The sequence below is a fragment of the Homo sapiens genome, chromosome 20 (assembly GCF_000001405.40).
Source record: "Homo sapiens chromosome 20, GRCh38.p14 Primary Assembly".
NCBI classification, from domain to species: Eukaryota; Metazoa; Chordata; class Mammalia; order Primates; family Hominidae; genus Homo; species Homo sapiens.
The window spans coordinates 63,013,912-63,033,954 of NC_000020.11; the positions used below are offsets into that span (position 1 = coordinate 63,013,912).

Sequence of the window (20,043 nt, forward strand, 5' to 3'; positions counted from 1 at the left end):
TTTAGGTTTTCCTACCCTGGCAGTGGTGCAAAAGGCCCTGAGTTGCTGCAAGAGCCGGTCTCCTTCTATCCACCCCTATGTCTAGGGTGCGGTTATTTGTTGTCCCAACTCAAAATGGTGGGGGTCGGGGGGATGTTCGCCAACTCCCCACTCTCAGGTGGGCTGAATCTCTCGCTGTCTGGCTCCTCAGTGGGCTGTGAGCTATCTGAAGCAGCAAATGCTTTGGGGGAAAAGTGAGCGTCCCGAAGGCTTTTTTCACTCTGGATCTTTGTCTTTCTGGGATTTTGTTTGTTTGCATTCCAAGCAAATATTTTTAACATTTTGCTCAGCTTTTGTAGTCACCATCAGAAAAGTGATGGGTCCAGATTAACTAGTCCCTAATAACCAGAAACTGGAAGTCTGATGGTTGTTTTCAGTCTTGAACAACATTGATTCTGCGGTGACCAGTTTAGAGTTCATGCAATAGACCTTCCTCCCCCTTGTAAAATCATCACTATTTCAGCTAATACTTAGAGTGACCTCCTGGTGACTCATCCTCAGCCCCCTTTGCCGGTTCTTCTTTTCCCCGACATTTTCATTCTGGAGGGCTTGGGATTCAGTCCTTTGGCCTTTTTCCTAGCTGTGTCTGCCCCCTCGGGGATCTCATCCAATACCCTTCCCACAGCCTACCCAGACCCCAGTGCTGAACTCCAGACTCACGGATTCAGCGGAGCGCAGAATGTCAGATGTGTGAGGGCCGCCTCCGATGCAGCGCGTTCCAGATGGAGCTGCGGCCTCCCCCAGACCCGCCCACCCCCACCCCCAGATTCTGTTGAGGGCAAATCATGCTTCCTCGCAGCTCACACCCTGTTGGTTCTCCCTCCCACGTTCATCTGGAATGCGGCCGCTCCCCACCTCTTCCCGCCTGCCCTCAGTCAGCACAGCAGCCTTCTAATGGCTTCTGCCCTCCCATCATCCCCAGACCCTCCCTTTCACACAGCAGCTGTGAGGTCCTCCTCAGGCAGGGTCAGGTCACGCCTCTCCCTCTCAGAGTCCTGCCTCAGCCCCTCCCCTGTCATCAACAAAGACTAGACTGTGAATGGCCCCATCTGCCTCCTGCCTCCCGAGCTCACAGCCTCTGAGGTCCCGGATGGGAAATCCCACCAGGCAGTCTGTGGACGCCGCACTGCAGGCGAGTGGGGTCTATCTTTTCAAAGCTGATGCCCACGCCCAGAGAGGGTGTCTTCCATGAGAGACGTGGCCTGGCAGCTGCTGCTGTGGGCCCTGGGCCCGGGGACACACCCGGCCCTCATTGAAGACAGGAGGCATCCCGCTGGGGGAGTCAGATGAGATGTCCAGCCCCACGTCACCTCCCTGTGCTCGGCCGTGCTCCGTGAATGGCCTGGTGGGTTTCTGTGTGTGGAGAGCTGGGTGGGCTTCTAGGGTCTTGACTACGGGGCTGGATGTAGAGTACTCTAGAGAGGCTGGGGATGAGATGAGGCAGCTGCAGGTGGCCCCTCCTCACCGCCTGAGGACGCGGGACCACGCCAGGCTTTTCTGGGCAGGGTGCCCCTGGCTGTGTGGCAACAGATATGCACAGAAATGCCACATGGGCTCCTGAGGCAGCCTCATGTCTCCACTGGTGGGTGGTGTGGGAGAGGGGACCTGAGATTTTGCCTGGCTCCTTGCTATTTGGGGGACGGGTGTGCCTCTGGGGTCCCAGCTGTGAACCAGGTTGTTTCACCTGGGGTGGGGTCGGGCTTGGCTCTGTCCCCGGGTCCTGGGCTTTCCTGGGCTCCCACTCACTGCCCTCTGGGCAGCTGGGCCTCCCCACATCCCTGGCGCGCTGGGGCAGCCCCATCTTCCTTCCTGCTGCTCAAGCGAGAGCCTCGCCACCACTCTGAGTGCCTTCGCTCACGCTCATCCAGTGCATTTGAAATCCCCGTGCTCCACCTTCCCGACACCCAGAGTCAGCCCCATCACAGGTCTCATCTGCACAGGGCTCCCTGCCTTTCCCTGTCTCCACCTCCCCCACCCCTGCCCAGTCAGCCGCATCACAGGTCCCATCTGCACAGGGCTCCCTGCCTCTCCCTGCCTCTCCCTGCCTCTCCCTGCCTCTCCCTGCCTCTCCCTGCCTCTCCCTGCCTCCACCTCCCCCCGCCCCGCCCAGGCCTGCAGCTCCTCTCACCCGGTGCTCCACCCCTGCATCTGGGCTGCTGGGGCCCCCGTGGCCATGACAGATGCCGCAGAGGCGTCACATCCTTTCTGGGTGTGATGGCCTCGGCTTCTGCTCGCTCACTGCCCGGCATCTCCAGTCCAGCTTCTCCTGCAGCATGGAGAGAGGCCACGTGGAGGGTGTGCCCAGCCCATGGCCCACCCAAGGTCCCCTGTGTATTGGTGACCCTGCTTGGACCTTGCAACCCAGCCCAGCCCCACGGGATGCAGCCACGAGGTCAACCCAGCCACACCTCATGAAGCGGACACGGCCACCCCGACCCTTCTCTAGTCCTGCACCCAGAGTTGTGACTGTAAAGTGGGGGTTGTTTTAAGCCACCAAGCTCTGGGGTAGTTTGCTCCAGGCAGCAGGTGACTGAGACACTGCCCTGTGGGACTCCCCATTTCTGCACTCGCTCCCCTGTATGGGGGCTCCTGGATCATGCCAGGGTCACGTCTGATAAACCCAATGTTAGTTGAAAGCCTCCAGATGAAAGGCACTCAGTGCACTCCGCCTCCTGAATATCATTGTTCGGCCTCCCGGCCTTCACCATGTGCAGACGCTGACGTCAGCACATTCGACAAAGTCCCCAATTCCCTTGCTCTGTTTCTAAGGCCCCGCCACCCCCACGCTGTGGCTGCGCTTCCTTGTCCTCATCCTTGTCCACCTGTGTTCTTTCCAGGTGCCCTGAGTGGACTGGAGGGGCACAGGGCAGCCTGGCACCTGCTGAGCCCTTGCTGGGGCCATGCTGTCCTGAGCCCCTGCTGAGCACCTTATGGGGACATGAGTGGGGGCTCAGTCTGGGAAGGAGGAGGGGAGGCCTGGGGAGATGGTCTGACTAGCTCTGCCCAGCCCCTCGGTGCTGTCTGGGGACAGGCTGGGGTCCAGGGCCTCCCCAGATGATGGGACCAGTGTCTCCAGGGCTCTGCAGGCTGGTCGGGGCGGCTGACCTGGGCATTTCTTCTTCTGGCTGCCGGGAGGCAGCAAGGCCCCAGGTTTGCATCTCAGTGGCCAAGTCTGGGCGAGGCTTTTCGGGGAGCAGGGGTGCAGCGGCCAAGTGTGTCTTTGGCCACTCTGGGGCCACATCAACGGGTCCTGGGGTCCCTGAAGCACCCGGGAGGCAGCCAGGAGGGCGCCAGTGCTGGGCTGTGCAGGGTGGGCCTGAAGAAGGGGGTGGTGCCTGGCGGTGATGGAGTGGGCCCGTCCCATCCCCCAGGCCGGCAGCCCTGCCTCAGGAGAGCCCTCAGTGGGCTGCAGAGGGGCCTCCCACGGTGAGAGAGGACGGGGAGGGACTGGAGTGTGGTTCATGTGGTGGCCTGCTGGTGCAGGGCTGGGCTCCATGTTGGCAGGGCTTGCGGGGGCGGTGCTGGGCTTCACAGTGGCAGGACTTGCAGAGGGGGCCTGGGCTCCATGGTGGCAGGGCTGGTGCAGGGCTGGGCTCCACAGTGGCAGGGCTGGGGGGTCTGTGCCCACAAGGCCACATCAGGCACAGGGGACCAGCCCCCAGGACAGAGGTCAAGGCCTGGATTTTGTGGCCCAACCTGGACCCCTAACTCTCTCCTTGCCCCACAGTGAGTAAACCGAGGTGCAGTCATGGCGCCTGCCTCCTGCCGTGTGTTTAGGTGAATGAGGTCAGGCCGGGTACTCACCTGTGCATCCCCGCTGCTGGGACCACAGCAGGTGCACCCACGGACCCCAGCCCCACTCCGACCGCCTGTGTCCTCACCCTCTGCGGGCTGACCCTTTCCCCCTCTGGCCAGTGGAGGTGGGAAGGCTCTGAGGGCCCCTGAGCCCAGGTTCCCTCTCTGTGGCCCTTAGCCCTGGCCACAGCACTCGGAACTTCTAACCGAGCCCTGCCGCCATAGCACACGGTCCGTGGTGCAGTCACCTGACACTGCACCAGGGCGTGATGTCCACAGGCAGGCCATGCCCCGGCTCCACACAGCGGCCCCGGACTGGAGTGCCCCCCGCAGAGACAGCGGGCAGGAGGCCGTCCTTCGGGGCCACCACTGTGACCATGAGATGCCCAGCCCTAGAGGGTCAAGGGTCCGTCTGAGCTGCCCGAGAGGTCCTCTGGGCTGAGCAGGGAGTGCACAGGTGGTGGCCGACGCCTGCTGCTGAGAGCGCAGCTCTGCGGTGTTGATGTGGAAGCAGCTGAGCCCTGGGGCATGGGCTCCACCAGGGCCCTCACGGCCTGCGAGACTCAGGGCTGGGGACTGGGTGCTGCCATGTGGTGGCCCTGCTGTCAGCTGCAGTCCCCAGCTCTGACCTGCAGAGTCTCACTGTCTCCTTTCGGCGTTTGCGGAGTTGGTGCGTGTGCCCTGGCCGTGCTCGGCAAGGGTTCCTCCCGGATAAGGTGGAACCCGATTTGGGGTGCGCTGGTATCACTGTCGCAATGATGCAGTGTCGTCCCGTCTGGGAACAAGGCATCTTGCCATTTATTTAGGTCTTGAATTTTTCTCTTCAATGCCTTGTGGTTTCAGAATGCGGCTTTTCCACAGAGTTTGTGAGATTTTCCTATTTGTCCCACCTGTTCTTGCTGCCTCTTCTCTTGTATCGTTTGGGACTAACGGACCTTTCACATGACTCTGTGCTTACTGTCACTACCCGCTTGTTTGATACTCCCTTCCTTCCTTCCTTCCTTTCTTTCTTTTACTTTCTTTGTCTCTTTGTTTCTTTTTCTTTTCACAGTCTTGCTCTGTCACTCAGGCTGGAGTGCAGTGGTGCAATCTCGGCTCACTGCAACCTCTGCCTTCTGGGTTAAAGCAATTCTCCTGCCTCAGCCTCCCGAGTAGCTGGGATTACAGGCATGAGCCACCATGCCCGGCTAATTTTTGTATTTTTAGTAGAGACGGCGTTTTGCCATGTTGGCCAGGCTGGTCTCAAACTCCCGACCTCAGGTGATCTGCCCGCCTCGGCCTCCCAAAGTGCTGGGTTTACAGGTGTGAGCCACCGCACCTGGCCCTTTGGCTTACGTCTTAGTGGCCACCCTCTTCAGTAGGTAGGCTTCTGGTACGTGCTTCCAGATCACCAAGGCGTAGCTCTAAAGAGCACCATGAGTTCATAACAGCATAAGATCCGCTCGCCGCCCACCCGCTCGCCACCCACCCGCTCGCCACTCACCCGCCCGCCCACCCGCCTGCTTGCCCTTTGTACTATCGTTGTCAGACGTTTTACTAAATCCACATATGTTATAAACCCCACAGTGTATTATGAATACGTTTGCTTTAACAGGCGATTATCTTTCAAAATTTGAAAAGTAATAAAAACAGCATTTTTTTTTTTAAAGAGACAGCTCTCACCGTGTTGCCCAGCCTAAACTGAACTCCTGGGCTCAAGTGATCCTCCCACCTCGGCCTCCCAAAGTGCTGGGATTACAGGCGTGAGCAAACACGCCCAGCCAGAAAAACAGCATTTTTATCATCCACATATTTTCCCTATCTAGCCACTTTCTTTGTCTGTGTAGACTCATCTGGTGTCATTTTCCTTCTGCCTGAATAACTTTGATGTTTCTTGTACCGCACGTCTGCTGGTGATAAATTCTCTCGGCCTTTTGTTGAAAAAAATCTTTATTTGCCTACATTTGTGAGGATATTTTTCCCGATGTAGAGTTTTAGCTTGACAGGTATTCTCTTCTTTCAGTCCTTTAAATGTGCTAACGCGTCGTCTGTCTCCCAGCTCACGACGTTTCACACGATGTCGGCTGTAATTCCTGTCTCTCTATGTAACATGCCTGTTTTCTTTGACTGCTTTTAAGATTTTTCTGTGTCACTGGTTTTCTACAGTTTTATTACAATGGCCGTGCCGTGGTTTCTTTCTGTTTATTCTGCTTGGAGTTCATGGAGCTTGTCTAGATTTTTGTCCAATTGAAAAACTTTATTAAACATTTTTTCTTGATCCCTCCACCACATTAGCTGTGTGCAGCATATTGTGGATTTTTTTTTTTTTTTTTGAGATGGAGTTTTGCTCTGTCTCCCAAGCTGGGATGCAGTGGTGCGATCTCAGCTCACTGCAGCCTTCACCTCCCGGGTTCAGTGATTCTCCTGCCTCAGCCTCTTGAGTAGCTGGGGCTACAGGCACTGCCACTAGGCCTGGCTAATTTTTTTGTAGTTTTGGTAGAGATGGGGTTTTGCCATGTTGGCCAGCCTGATCTCGAACTCCTGACCTCAATTGATCTGCCCGCCTTGGCCTCCCCAGATGCTGGGATTACGGGCATGAGGCAGCACGCCCAGCCATTGGTCTTCCAGTCTTTTTTCCCTCACTGGGCTTCATTTTGAATATTTGCTATTGCTATGTCTTCACATTCCTTAAAAAATGTCATTGGATGTTATTCCTGTCCATCGTGTTTCATTTCCGATGTATTTTTCGCCTCTGAAATTGCGTTTAGGTTCCTAAAGATCTGTCATTGCACTCTTCAGCACGCTTATGTTTTCCTCTGTGTCCTTGAAAATGTGGGCCCTAGTTGTGACTGCGGCTTTAATGTCCTTGTCTGCTGATGCCATCGCCGCCGTCCTTTCTGGGTCTGTTTCTGTTGATTCTTTTTTCTCCTGATCCTGGGTCATACTTCCCCCTTTGTTGCATCCTTGGTAATTTTTGGCTGCACGCTTCCTTGTGAGTGCTACATTGTTAGGTGCCAGGTTTTGTTGTAACCCTTTAGAGAGTGTTGGGCTTAGTCCTGGTATGTGGTGAAGCTGCTGGGAACCCGATGACCCTTTCCAGGCTGGCCTTGGGTGCTGGCAGGCCGGATGCAGGTTATCTCAGCGCCGTAGCAGTTCCCTTTGGAGGGCTCTCCCGGTGACGCTCCCTCCCTGTGGGGATGCAGCTTATTCCTGGCCTGTGTGAGTTCCAGGTGCTGTCCCTGTTCCATTCCCCAGGGCTTTCTCCCATCTTGCAGTCTCATCCCAGGCACGTGCAAGTTGGTACCTTTCTAAGGCTTTCGGGGAGCCCTCTGTGGACCTCGGTGCTCCCTCTCTGTGCAGCCCTCTGTCTCTGGTCTTCTGCCCCGTGGCTATGCCTTCTGTCTCCTCAGCTCAGAGAGATGTCTGGGTTCTGTTTGCAGCCCCTTCTGAGTCGCAGCATGGGAGCTGTCTTCAGGTGGTGAGCCGGGCAAGTGTGGGTGCCCCTCACTTGCTCTCTCAGGGGTCATGGTCCTGCACTCCAGACCCCGAGTCTGAAGGCTGCTGTCCACGTGTGTTGTCGGTTTCTAGTTGTTTATAGGGGAGGGGCCCTTTCCTAGACGGGCACCGGAGTCTGGCTGCTTCTGTCCCTGTTCTCTCCACTGGCCGGGGACCATGAGAGGCTCTGGTGGGGCCGGTGATGTTTATTGAGTGGTGACGTTTATTGAGCAGTGGAGGGGACCGGCTCTGTAAAGCCTCAGCTCTGTGCAAGCACTCAGCGGCCTCCTTCCCTCCTGTCCTACAGACGGGGACCTGCGCCTGGAGAGCACTCTGCCCGCTGAGGCAGAGCCCGAGTATGTGCTGCCGTCTGTCTGTCTGCAGAGCTTGGGAGCTGGTGTGTGAGGGGGGGTGTCCAGAGTCCTGGGCGGTGGGTGCTGGGTTCTCCTACTGTGGGAAGACCTCAGGGCACCAAGCGTGGGGCTCCCTGATGTCCACGTGGGCCCTGCCCATCCCCCCCATCACTGAGTGCAGAGTCTCCCTCTGGGTTCCCGGATGGTTCCAGACGATGTGGGTGCAGGCGGTAGGTCTCTCTGCAGTGTGGATGGGTCCAGACGACGTGGGTGCAGGTGGTGGGTCCTTCTGCAGTGTGGATGATTCCAGATGATGTGGGCGCAGGCGGGGAGGAGTGAGGGGAGCACGGCGCAGGGCCATGCTTTCTGAGCCCTGACTGGACACAGCATTGTATGGGGCGGAGACCTGGACGTCTTGAGCTGGGTCTCGCCGACTTCCCCTTCCACACATCCCAAGCTGCACAGGAGGCTGGCCCGGGTCCCGAGGGCCCCTGGAAGCTGCCCCAGCCGCGTTGCTCTCAGACAGGGGCGTCCTGGCTGCAGCGGGGGCCCTGTGCCGCCTGCGGTGTCTGAGAAGGCGTGAACGCCTGGAGAAGCCCAGGGACAGAGACTGCGCTGGGAGCAGAGTGAATGTGTCTGTTATTGATTTTCTCCACGTGGCTCCCACGTTATTGCACACGTGATTTTGTACTTGGCTGAGATTAAATATTAATACATTGAACATTAAAAGAGTTTTCAGCCCTTTAAACAATTGTTTATGGCACAATTAAAAGGCAAATGAATGATGTTTTTTAGGAGCAAGTTTGTTGGCCTGAGTCTTATTTGTGAGGGCTGGAGCTGAGGGGAGGCCCCTTGAGGGGGCGCAGAGAGGGAAGCCGTGTGGCATGGCCACTTGCAGTGGGCGGGCATCTGCTATTTATTGAGGCAAGATGAGGGGGCAGGCTGCCCTGGTGCCCCTGCTCCAGACCCGCAAATACCAGGAGCAGCCCCTGACGAGAGACCCTAGCCCCCTAGCCCATCCACCGTTTTGATGTAAACCAGGTTTCCATGAGCCTCCCATGCGGCTGCAGGGGGTGGGGGAGGTGGGTCAGCAGAGAGCGAGCCAGGTGGGCAGATGGGGTGTGGGCCGCTGCCCTGTGCAGGGTGCTCCCCTCTCCCTGGTGAATGGACCGTCACCTCTGCTTCCTGGCGCCAGCTCCTCGTCTGTCTGACTTCTCTCGTGCTGTGACCTGCAGGGTCAGGACCGCACGGCCTTTCCTCTGAGCTGGGGTTCAGTCACTTGCAACTGAAGGATCCTGACTGAGCCAAACTAGTTAAAGTAGGAAAAGGGCCTCTGGAGTTTTCAGTTACGTGAACCGAGAACGGCTTCAGGCACAGTGGAGTCCAGGTGCCACTGCTGGCACAAAGCCTGGGTCTCCTTCCATCCCTCAGCTCTGCTGTGTCCTGGGCTGACTTGACTCTGAGGCAGTGGAACCCTCAGCGTGGCAGGAGCTGCCGGCAGCCCCGGAGGAAAACGAGCACCTCTTCCTCCAGCATCTGCTCTCTCTTGGCCTGGAAATTCCGTCCTGAGTCTCCTTCCCAGGTCTCAGTCCTGGCGGTTTGAGTGGCTGATCAGAATCTCCCGCGCCGCCCACAGGAGACCCAGCTGGGTCCGGCTGGTCAGTGCCAAGCCCTGGACCTGCGTGGTGGCGCCCCCAAAGGCTGCTCGGAACCGGCCCGTGCAGGTGGACCTCTGTCTGTTGGTTCCCCTCTTCCCTCTTCACACCCTTTAGGTGCTTCCTGCAAGTCTGAAAGGAGGTGCACCCTGGCCCGGGGGAGGTTTGCGGGGTGAACACTTAATCCGGACTAGTTTCAGGAGGGCTTCCTGGAGGGGGCTGCATTTGGGTGGTGTCCTGATGGAGCAGAGATTGTCTTTTTGGAGGACCGGGTCCCATGTAGAGGCTGTGAGCTGCCCACACACTCTTCATGCCATGCCTCTCCTTTCTGTCCCCTGCCGCTCCCTGGGCCAGAGCTGGACAGATTCTTCCTGAGCACCTGGTCCAACCCGGCTGAGGCTGGTCAGTGGCGTGGTTAACTCGGGGCTGCCCCGGGGGGCTCCTGCCATCTCAGGATTCCCAGCACGGACCCCTCCCCTGCCTGCCTCCTTTGCTCCTCGTTGCCTGCTCTAAAGGGAGGGATTTGGGCTTAGCATGTCCACCCGATGCCACTTCTTTTAACTGTCAATACGGTCGGCATCTGCCAACCTTTCCCACGGTGACTGGCCCCTCCTTGGGCCACTGTAGGCAGAGTGATGGGGTCAACTCGACAATTGCTTTCACTGTCAACCCAAGTTCTGCCTAATTAGGGGGAACGGCAGCGTGGCTGAGAAAATGAGGGTGTGTGTGTTTGAGCACACGTGAGGCCTTCCAACCTGAAACAACAGCTGTGCCCGCGGCCCCGGAGCCTAGGGGGCTGTGTAGCCCCAGGCCCCTGACCCGGCCCCCACCCTCCCTGGCCCCGGGGTCCTGTGGTCGCCCACCACGGTGGCACCACCTTGCGGGGATAGCACAGAACACGGGCTTCTCAGACCCAGAGTTTTGAAATTAGGCAGATTTGAGTGATTTTTAAGAACGGGGTGGGAGATCGGAACTATTTCACATTTTCCAAATACAGTGAGGCTCTAGAGTGACGTGAAAACTGGATGGTGCAGCACGGCGATGTCAGTTATGTGAACAGCCGCCACCCTCGTGCGGGCAAAAGCGGCTGATGGGAAGGACTGGATCTGTGGCTGCCACTCCGCTGCTCCGTGGCGGTGGGGGGCGGTGGCCGCCCAGTCCACTCTGCAGTGCGGGAGCTGGGCTCCGCGAGCTCCTGGCCCCCACGCCGCTGGACACTGGCCAGCCCGGGTCGAGGTGGATCTAGGGTATGGCAGACAGAGAGCTGGAGCCTCTGGGCCTCCTGTGGGAGGCAAACCCTCACTTCTCTGTAGCTGGAAGTTCAGCAAGCGAGAAGTTTTACGAGGCCGTCAATAAGATTGCATCTTTGTTCTGATGCCGCGGTGCCTGCGTGATGATTTAAAACCGCTGAGCCCGACGTGCTCACGGGCCAGGCCTCATTGTCAAGGCACAAGGCTCTGTCGCTTAATCACACACCATGATGGCGAAGCTCTGATGGGATTAAGCTTCCCTTCTGCATCTCCACCTCCCTTATTCCTCTCAGAGGGGGCCTGTGAGGCCAGGGGCCTGTGAGGCCAAGCGCCTCACAATCCCGCTGCCTTTGGGGACATCGTCATGGCTCCAGGTGTCTGCAACTCTGCTGTGAAGGGTTCCCTGGGGGAGCCATCCTCCCCTGAACGGGCACCGGGTGTCTTGGGACCATCCCACTCCAGCTATGGCACTCAGGTGAACCCCGAGTGTTTTGTGCTGTGACTGGGAACCCGGGCATTGGCAGGTGATGTGGTTCCAGCTGCAGCTTCCCGTGGTCCTTGGGAAGGCGGCTTCAGGGACGGTGTAAGTTGTCAGCGTCACCCCTGGGAAGGGCTCCGAAGCAGAAGGATGGGGGTGTCTGTCTCCAGGACCCAGATTGTCCTATCGGGAAGAGTTGAACGAGGGTGGGGAGGGTCTCCTGGGGGGACACCAGAGCCGAGCCTGAAGGTGAGCAGAGCCTTCGCCCTGGGTGAGTTTCGTTCTGGCTGAGCAGTTTCTCTGTGGCCCAAGGGACCTGCATTGGTTTTTTGAGTTGGGTTAGGGGCAGAGAGGGGGAGTGATGGGGCTGTGGGGGTGGAGGTGGGACTTTGTTTCACTTAGTTTTATACCCTCCACGATGTTCTTTCCCATCAAGGACAGGAACACACCACCCACAAAATGACCTTGGAGAGACTTTTGTTATTTTTTAGATAGGAAAAAACAAAAAAACAAAAAAATCCCCAAACCCAATAACCATTTGAGCTACTTTGATGGTGGAGGCAGCGAATCCCGGGGAAAGCCAGGCTCCTAAGCCCCAGACGCCCCTGCCTGCTGAATCAGGTCCCCGCCCAGTGCTCAGATGGTCACGGGCTCTGGGATCCTGCGGGATTTGGAGGAAGAGGCCGTGCTGCGTCCGGGCTGGCTCTGCCCACACCCCGGCGAGAGATGCTGACTTCACATTCACCTCTGTGAAGATCACAGGATTTAAGCTGTCAGCGTGGGACGGGCATGTGCTTTAAGGATGATTGCGCCAGCAAAGCCGCCTTCCTGAGCCATGCTTATGCCAGGCTCCTCCTGTCTCTGAGCAAATGCTGGCCGCCCGGCCCGGGAGCTTCCGGAAGCTGTTTGCTCCCCGTGTGCAGGAGGAAATGTGTGTCTGCAGCCATGTGTGTGGGCCGCTGTCTCCTGCTGCACCCGGCCTTCCTCACGGCAAGAGCTCTGTGCTCTGTGGGCTCTGGAAGGAACGTTCCGGGCCGGTGTGTCTTGAGAGTGTTGGGCAGCTGCCGCCCTGGGGGAAGGACCCTCACTAGGCTGGCCCGGGGCAGGAGCAGGAAGGATGCGGCTCAGCTGCCGCCTAGCTCTGTGTGCCAAGTCCCTGCAGGGACCCTGGAAGCCGAGAGGGGCGGCTGGGTGGCCACGCAGCGGGGTGGGAGGTGAGGGGCCTGAGGAAGCCGCGGTGCCGCGTTCCCTGGGCAGCGTCGCTCACACACAGGGAGGCTCATTCACGCTCACTCAGCACGGCCGTGTCAAGGCACTGCAAGTACACTGACACGCAGCTTGCGGTGGGAGGGACGGTGGGGTCCTCGGACCACCCAACACAGGGCCGCAGACTGGGCTTTGACAACAGAAATTCAGTGTCACTGTGCTGGAGCCGGAAGTGGGAGACCTGGGTGCTGGAGGTTTGCTGCGATCCTGGTGTTCCTTGGCTCGAGAAACCATCACTTGGCCTCTGCCTTCATCTTCTCACCTTTCCACGCCTCTCCCGTGCGTGTCTGTGTCCACGTTTCCCCTAAGGGCACAGTCACATTGAATTAGGGCCCACCCTACTCTAGCCTGACCTTGTCTTAACTAATGACCCTGCAGTGACCTTCCTCCCAAGTAAGGCCACATCTCAGGCACCGGGATGACGCCTTCCACACTAGAATTCTTAAGGGACCCAATTCAACCCCTAAGAGGGATGCCTGAGCTGAGGTCTGTCGTGGACAGGCTGGAGCTCTATCCCCCGGGCCTCTCTCCTGCCTGGTGCCTCCCATTTAAGGAGCAGGTTGAAGGAGCTGAGACCCCCCCTTGGGCATTGAGCACTCCTGTCTTGGATACAGGCTTCCCCAATGCTGCCGCCTCTCTCCCTGACCTCAACCTGCTTCCCTGCACTGAGCCTCACCTTTGAACGTCCTTCCTTCCCCAGCGCGTGGAGCCCCGCACAGCTGGGGCAGCTCAGCCGAGTGCAGGCGGTGGCAGGTCCCAGGGGCTGGTGTCTTGGGTGGGGCCTGGTGTCCGAGGCCTGCAGATCAGCCCTGCTAGCCCTGCCCAGTGCCCAGGCTGCCCCTTTGCCTGGTTGGGGGTTGGTGGGGCAGGGAGCCTGGTGGGCTTCACTCTGGGTCTACCAGGAAGGTGGCACTAGGTTAATCATTATTGCCCCGACCCCCTCCGTATGGGGGGGCAGGACCAGCTCAGAAATTTTAGAGTACCACGCAAAATAAGAACGTTGGGCTTCTTGCTCAAAAATGAAGAATTCTGGGACAGCAGTGGCGGAGCATGCAGCCTTCTGAGCGCAGACGTCGGGACACCAGGGACGCTGGCCGGGAGCGAGGGAGGGGCTTTACCGAGGAATGGGTTTCCTCCTCCAGCCTTGTTCTGGAGATCACGCCTGTGCAATCTTTTTAAATACAGAACAGAAAAAAATGCCAGCCCCCTGCAGCCTGGTCACGAGAATGCCAGGATCTCAGGGCACCTGCTGGCTGACCTTCGCTGAGATAGAATTTACACACTGCACATGCTCCCATCTGAAAGGGATGCCCCGCGGCCTTCAGCACATTCACAACATCGCGCAACCATTGCCACTCATTCCAGAACTTCCACCACCCCGAAAGGAGCCCATCAGAGTCTCCCCACTGCCCCTGTCAGCTCCTTGCTGTCCCTGTGGACTTGCTGGTTCTGGACACTTCATGGAATCAGAATTGGTGTGACACAGGGCCTTGTGGCGTGGACTACGGCCCTCTGAGCGGTCTTGACCTGTTCACCTAAAACCAGACGCTGAAATTAACCAGGCCCACCTCTCCAGGCCAGGGCGGGTGAATTCCCGGGGACCCAGCCCTTGCCTGCACCAGGAGAGTAAGCGACTTATTAATAGGGTAATTTATGCGGGTGCCTGCGCACCGGGACGGACCAGCATCTATCATGGCTGTTTTGCGTTTCTTGATTTCACGATGTCTGTTGTGTGCTCAGGCCCCTCCTCTCCAAGGTCCCAGCTGTCCTTGCCCTGTTCCCTGTGAAGAGTGAAGAACCAACGCGGGCGGGGAGTGGACCGGTGGGGAGAGGGCCGGTGGGGAGAGGACCGGTGGGGAGGGGCCGGTGGAGAGGGGGCCGGTGGGGAGGGGGCCGGCGGGGAGTGGTTTGGTGGGGAGGAGGCTGGTGAAGTAGCGTCAGGTGCGGGCCTGGCGTCGGCGAGTCAAGTCGAGCTGATCCAGGGCCTTCTTTCTGCAGCTTCATCAGGTTCTCAATTAGCGGAGGGCGCTGGCGGTGGAGGAGGGCATTAGCCGTGCCTGCTCTCGGGCTCTGCCTGCCAGAGTGCCCTCATGTGGCATGAGATTAAGGCTCAGCCTCTTTCCTGACAGCAGGTTTTCCATTTTTCTTCTCCTTCCTCCTCTCCTGGCAACAAAGTCCTTTGCTGGGCTGGGGGGTCTCCACTCTGATCCACTTCCCTCCTTCCTGCCTCCCTCCCACGCCCTGGAAACCCCGGCCCATGACTCTTTCCCTGAGGGGGCCGCCCGCAGCCTCTCCCCCATGGGGGCTTTGCTCTGGGCACCCCCTTTCCCCCGGGGCGGGTGGGGCAGCGGCCGGGACTCAGGAAGATGGTGGCCCAGTGGGGCTCTCTCCTTGGGTGTGTGGGAGCGGAGTCCCCTCGCTCTTCTGGGATAGAACGCTCCGTTGAGCTCCCCAAACTGCTCCCGTGCCGAGCTCTGGGGGAGGGAGTCTGTTCAGAGACGGTGCAGTCCTACCTTTTAGAAGGTACGCCTGCCTTTTTAAGCAGCTCAGCTCTCAACAATGCACAAGTGGCTTGAGTAGAAGAGCTGCTCCTGCTGGGAGGCGCAGGAGGCTGAGCGAGGCCCACCCTGCAGGGGCGAGGCCACGGTTTGTGTTATTTCCCATGATGACTCCAAACGCACCCGAGTCCCCCGGGCCTCCGCGCCTCCGTGTGCAGGTCCCCCGGGCCTCCGCGCCTCCGTGTGCAGGTCCCCCGGGCCTCCGCGTCTGTGTGTGCAGGTCCCCCGGGCCTCCGCGCCTCCGTGTGCAGGTCCCCCGGGCCTCCGCGCCTCCGTGTGCAGGTCCCCCGGGCCTCCGCGCCTCCGTGTGCAGGTCCCCCGGGCCTCCGCGCCTCCGTGTGCAGGTCCCCCGGGCCTCCGCGCCTCCGTGTGCAGGTCCCCCGGGCCTCCGCGCCTCCGTGTGCAGGTCCCCCGGGCCTCCGCGCCTCCGTGTGCAGGTCCCCCGGGCCTCCGCGTCTGTGTGTGCAGGTCCCCCGGGCCTCCGCGCCTCCGTGTGCAGGTCCCCCGGGCCTCCGCGCCTCCGTGTGCAGGTCCCCCGGGCCTCCGCGTCTCCGTGTGCAGGTCCCCCGGGCCTCTGCGTCTCTGTGTGCAGGCTCAAGTTTGCCAACGTCCATGCACGTCTCAGCCTCTCAGCCTGGACTGGACAACTGGGCTTCGGGAATTCATTTAAATTCTACCCGCTACACGCCTTCCCTGGATTCAGGGCGGCGTCCAGTGCATTCATCACGCGTGTGCTGCCGTGAAGGTGCGGGGACCCCCCCCAAAAGGCTTCCTTCCCTGTCCTGCGTCCTGCCCACAAGGCGGTGCTGCTGGCACCAGGCCTGACCTGGCGCTGCCAGTGCTCCACTGTTTTGAGTTATTGACCAACAATTCACTCTCGGGTCCCGAGGGGAACTGGCCTGAGGCCACTCAAGCAGAGGCTCAATGAGGAAAGATAAATATTTCATGGTCTGGGTCGGTGAGAGAGGGAAATCAATAGCGCATCCCATCCTCAGTACGGCGCAGGCCTCCCACCCAAGGCAGCGAGTTGCATCCTCCGTGCCGCGCGGGCCCTCCCACCCGAGGCAGCGAGTTGCACTTCCGGGCTTGTTCTCTTCCTCCCTTTAAGGCAAGGCTGCAAACTGCCAGGCCGATGGCCCGTGCTGGGAGCAGGCAGGTGTCCTGACTCCGCCTCCAGCCGGTGAATCAGAGCCCTGAGATTCACCAAGGGCCCCCTGCCCGGGTCGTGGAGGCAGAGCCTGGGGCTGGGAGAGGCCCTTCAGGACCCCTCTGTGGGAGCCGGACGCAGGCCTGGGGATGTTGGAGGTGGGAGCGCTTCCAGGCCCCTTGTGTAGGACCAGAGGCTGCTCCGACCCTGCTCGGGGCTCTGGAGACAGAAGAACGGCATGAGTGTTTCACAAATGGTGCAGACAGTTCACAGGTCAAGACAGGGGACAAAAGTGACCACTTTTAGTTAAAAACAGGTGACTCCGTCCCAGGACAAGCACGATGCTGTGTTAGGTCCCGTTAGTCCCCTTGGAAAGCTGTCGGCTTTCCCTGGAGAGGACCTCGTTCTGTCCACGCCACTGCCCTGCGAGCGAGAGGGAGTGCGAGCGGGGCGTCCACGCGCTCCCATGGGGGACCTGGGGCTGCTTCCCGCTTCCCGATTTTCCTTCAGCGCTGCTCGTGGCGTGCCCTTTCTCCCGTGGCGCAGTCACCAGCAGGACGTGTGTCCCGCTCACGCTTTGGGAAACACGGCCTTGTAGCAGGAGCTGCTCTCGGGGTTCAGCATCGGGGGTGGCAGAGCCCAGTGCCTGCTGGGGCATTGCCAGGCATCGTGGAGCTGGACCCAGAGCCAGGGGTCCCAGCTGCTGCTCCTCAAGGACCCTGTGGCTCAGGAAAGCCCTCCCATTGCTAACGTGTCACCCGAAGGGCTTGGGGACCTCCACGCAGGATGGGCTTCAAAAGTCAGCTCAGGCGGTGCCCTGGCCTCGGGTGCGCGGGGAGACCACTGGCCTCCCTCATGCCGGCTCCCTGCTGACTGTCTCGTGAGCTCCTGGCAGCCCTTCTAGAATGTTCTGGCGTGGCTCCCTGCTCACGTTTCTAAAGCAACTATCAGCCCATCCTCAATTACCGTGTCTCCAGGACCACAGACGACCTGGAGCAGCAAGAGTCAGTGCTGGGGCCGGGCGCGGTGGCTCACGCCTGTAATCCCAACACTTTGGGAGGCCGAGGCAGGCAGATCACCTGAGGTCGGGAGTTCGAGACCAGCCTGGCCAATATGGAGAAACCCTTTCTCTACTAAAAATACAAAATTGGCCGGGTGTGGTGGCGCATGCCTGTAATCCCAGCTACTCGGGAGGCTGAGGCAGGAGAATCGCTTGAACCCGGGAGGTGGAGGTTGCAGTAAGCCGAGATCGTGCCACTGCACTCCAGCCTGGGCAACAAGAGTGAACTCCGTCTCAAAAAAAAAAAATAAATAAAGAGTCAGTGCTGGGACGAGAGGCACCGGTAACATGGCCAGTGTTGCAGCCGGAGGCGGGCAGGGCTGACCTGTCCAGGGACCAGCAGAGCTCGGGCAGGAGGTGACCCTGAGTCGGGGGAGAGGGGGCGTGGGAGCCTGGGGCTGGGGGAGGAGGGAGGATGTCACTGTGGATGAGGCTGGTTCCCAGCCTCAGGAGCCAGGCCCGGGCCCCTCCAGCTCCACCTGTGCTCACCTGGGCAGGTGATGCCCCATGCTGAGCCTCTGCTCTCTGGTCCTTAGGGTGGGGGTGCAGTTCATGCCCCATGGGCTGGGTGAAAGAATAAACCCCCACCCAGTGGGCACGTGCGGCGGGCACCCAGAGTGCTTGAAGTTTCCTTGTGAGGCTGCTGCTGACTCTGGGGAGGGACGGTGTCGTTGGAGTGGGGCCACCTGGCTTGGCCCGTTGCCCTTGGCAGCAGGAATACAGCTGCCCTGGGGGCTCCTCTGCCACACGGGCACTCAGGGGTGCTGGTCGTTGGGTCCAGGCAGGGTGGGGGCAAGAGCCACTGAGGGGCCCTTTGTTTGCATCTTAGGTGACGCTGCAGAGGTGAGTGGCCGGGGCATCCAGAGCTTCCCTGAATGACTGGGCCACGACGATGAAGGCGTCAGGGCTGCAGCCTGCTGGGCGTGCCCCAGCCAAGTTTTCAGGACGGCCTCTGCTTCTCCTTCGGGGAAGGAGCAGCCCTACTCCCTCTGATGGGGCTGCCTGGGAGGGTTGGATTTGTTGTTTGTAGGGAAAGACTGGGGCGGAGAGCAGGGTGCTGTGGCCCCTCTCGTCCCTTTCTGGTTCCTGGGGCTGTCCGCACAGAGCAGGTGGGGACACGCTGGCTGGATTTCATCTGGATCAGAGGAGGGTGAGAGGATGGTCTCCTGGTGGGGAGTGCAGAGCCTCAGCTCTGGAGTGTGGAGAAGGATCCAGCTTGTTGGGTGGTGTATGGTCAGAAGTGGGGACCTCGGGGCCTCAGATCTGGCCTCTGATCCCAACTCTGTTCCCCTCGGAGCCACCCTTCCCTCATCCATCAGGAGCCAGTAGCAGCCCCAGGACAGCTGCCGTGGGATAAATAAAAGGAGCCGCCTTCAGGAGCTGCCTGCCGAGTGTCCACAGAACGTAGCGTCTTCCCAGCACTCAGCGGGTCCTGATGGGCCTCCTTCCCACCGCCCTCTTCCGAGTGTGGGGAGCTCAACCCCTGACTTGGGGTCCCGGGACATTCAGTTTTGTGTGTGATCAGGGAGGCAGCGCCTGACCCACAGAAAGCACCTGCTACTGGTGGGGTCTCAGATCTGTGCACACCTGTGTCCCGGGCTCCTCACTGTCCGGGTGGTCACACTGTCCCTGCGCTGCTGGACTTGGGGGCTTGGGTGCAGCCAGCCTTGTGCTCCTCAGCCTCCCTGGTACAGGAGGACTGTCCATCTGCCTGGCAGGGGCAAGGCCGTCTTCAGCGGAGAGACCTGGAGGCCACGTGGTCTGCTCAGAAGTACCTGCATGCAGTTTGATGCCCTGCTGCAGCAATCTTGAAATTCTTAGTAATTTTATCTTTGAATGCTCGCTTTGTAAGTGCAATCTAAGGATGGTGGCGTGAGCATGACTGAAGGAAGCTGGAGATGGTCAGGGTGCGAGTCCACTGCGGAGCCAGTAGGTGCCAGTGGTTCGAGAGGCCACGCTTTCCCTTGACTCAGAGCTGGCCCCAAGTGCAGAAAGGAGGTGGTGTTGCTCTCAGATGCCCACACAACCAAGGACACATCCCCCCCGTCTCCCTGGGACTCCCATGTGAGCTGGCCACCTGCACTGCAGATGACGATGTGGAAGGAGAGAGAAAGACAGGAGACCGCGGCTTTTCCTTTCAGTCCTTCGTACCCAACAGCAACTGAGAGGGCGTCCCGGCAGGGTATGAATGGCCAGCAGGACGCTGAGGCTGCGTGGCGTTTCCACCGTGCTGCAGGAACAAGATGCACATCGTGCAGGAGCCGCAGAGCACGCGTGCAGAGGTTTCGGTGGCTTTGCCCCGCAGCTAACGTGTGCGTGTGTGCCTTGACTTATATTTGCATTACTTAGAATGACATTCAATAGCAAATGAAAGACAGCCGGCAAGTCAATAGAGAGAATGCGGAAGGAAGGAGAAGGCTTTGTTTGTGGCTCTGAGGGCACTTTTCCTCCTGCATTTGCATTTTGCACTGTGCAGATTTGCACCGTGCAGCCACCCGGGCCTCCTCGGGTCTGGGGCTCCATTTCCAGCACCCCCACCCAGCGCTGTGGGCCCCTCCCCCACGCACCTCCCCCACTTTGGTGGTGACAGTTGGTTGTGGAGGAACAATCGTCAGTGATGGGTGAACTAGCTGTGTTTCACGTGGCCTCCTCATCACTCTGCCAAGCCCCTGGGGCAGGCACATTTTGGCTGCCATCGACTCTAGAATGTTCTCTGGTGTCTCCAGGGGGTGTGCAGAGCTGGTCCCTCCCAGCGAGGAGCTCTGCTCACAGGTTCACACCCCCTGCCCTGTTCTCCAAGATGGGAATGTCTGATGAGAGCCCCAGAGAAGAATCAGCCGCTGGGGGTCGGGGAGGTGTTGGACTCTCTTGAAACAAAGGAGGCCCAAGCCTGGGGTCACGGGGCTGGGGGTGGGGGTGGGGTGGGAGGGAGTGGGCAGTGACCTGAGAACAGGAAGGGAGGTGGAGG

The 20,043-nt window shown here is 59.5% G+C and overlaps 1 long non-coding RNA gene across 1 annotated transcript, besides 4 other annotated features; it reads right to left on the reverse strand.

The window, feature by feature from the left end:
* Positions 2,862-3,829: an enhancer, noted in NCBI's record as "H3K27ac-H3K4me1 hESC enhancer chr20:61648125-61649092 (GRCh37/hg19 assembly coordinates)". NCBI's record gives its function as "activates a minimal SCP1, AML or CMV promoter by ChIP-STARR-seq in naive H9 embryonic stem cells {active_cell/tissue: H9 hESC(naive)}" and the evidence as "EXISTENCE:reporter gene assay evidence [ECO:0000049][PMID:30033119]".
* Positions 11,505-13,845, reverse strand: LOC105372718 (uncharacterized). The gene is made up of 3 exons (XR_007067718.1): positions 13,294-13,845; positions 12,987-13,205; positions 11,505-12,614 (listed from the first exon to the last, which is right to left on the reverse strand). It is a non-coding gene; the product is annotated as an uncharacterized LOC105372718 (long non-coding RNA).
* Positions 14,341-14,410: a silencer, noted in NCBI's record as "silent region_13144". NCBI's record gives its function as "represses an Ori minimal core promoter by ATAC-STARR-seq in GM12878 lymphoblastoid cells {active_cell/tissue: GM12878}" and the evidence as "EXISTENCE:reporter gene assay evidence [ECO:0000049][PMID:35858748]".
* Positions 14,705-15,256: an enhancer, noted in NCBI's record as "H3K27ac-H3K4me1 hESC enhancer chr20:61659968-61660519 (GRCh37/hg19 assembly coordinates)". NCBI's record gives its function as "activates a minimal SCP1, AML or CMV promoter by ChIP-STARR-seq in primed H9 embryonic stem cells {active_cell/tissue: H9 hESC(primed)}" and the evidence as "EXISTENCE:reporter gene assay evidence [ECO:0000049][PMID:30033119]".
* Positions 18,727-19,451: an enhancer, noted in NCBI's record as "H3K4me1 hESC enhancer chr20:61663990-61664714 (GRCh37/hg19 assembly coordinates)". NCBI's record gives its function as "activates a minimal SCP1, AML or CMV promoter by ChIP-STARR-seq in naive H9 embryonic stem cells {active_cell/tissue: H9 hESC(naive)}" and the evidence as "EXISTENCE:reporter gene assay evidence [ECO:0000049][PMID:30033119]".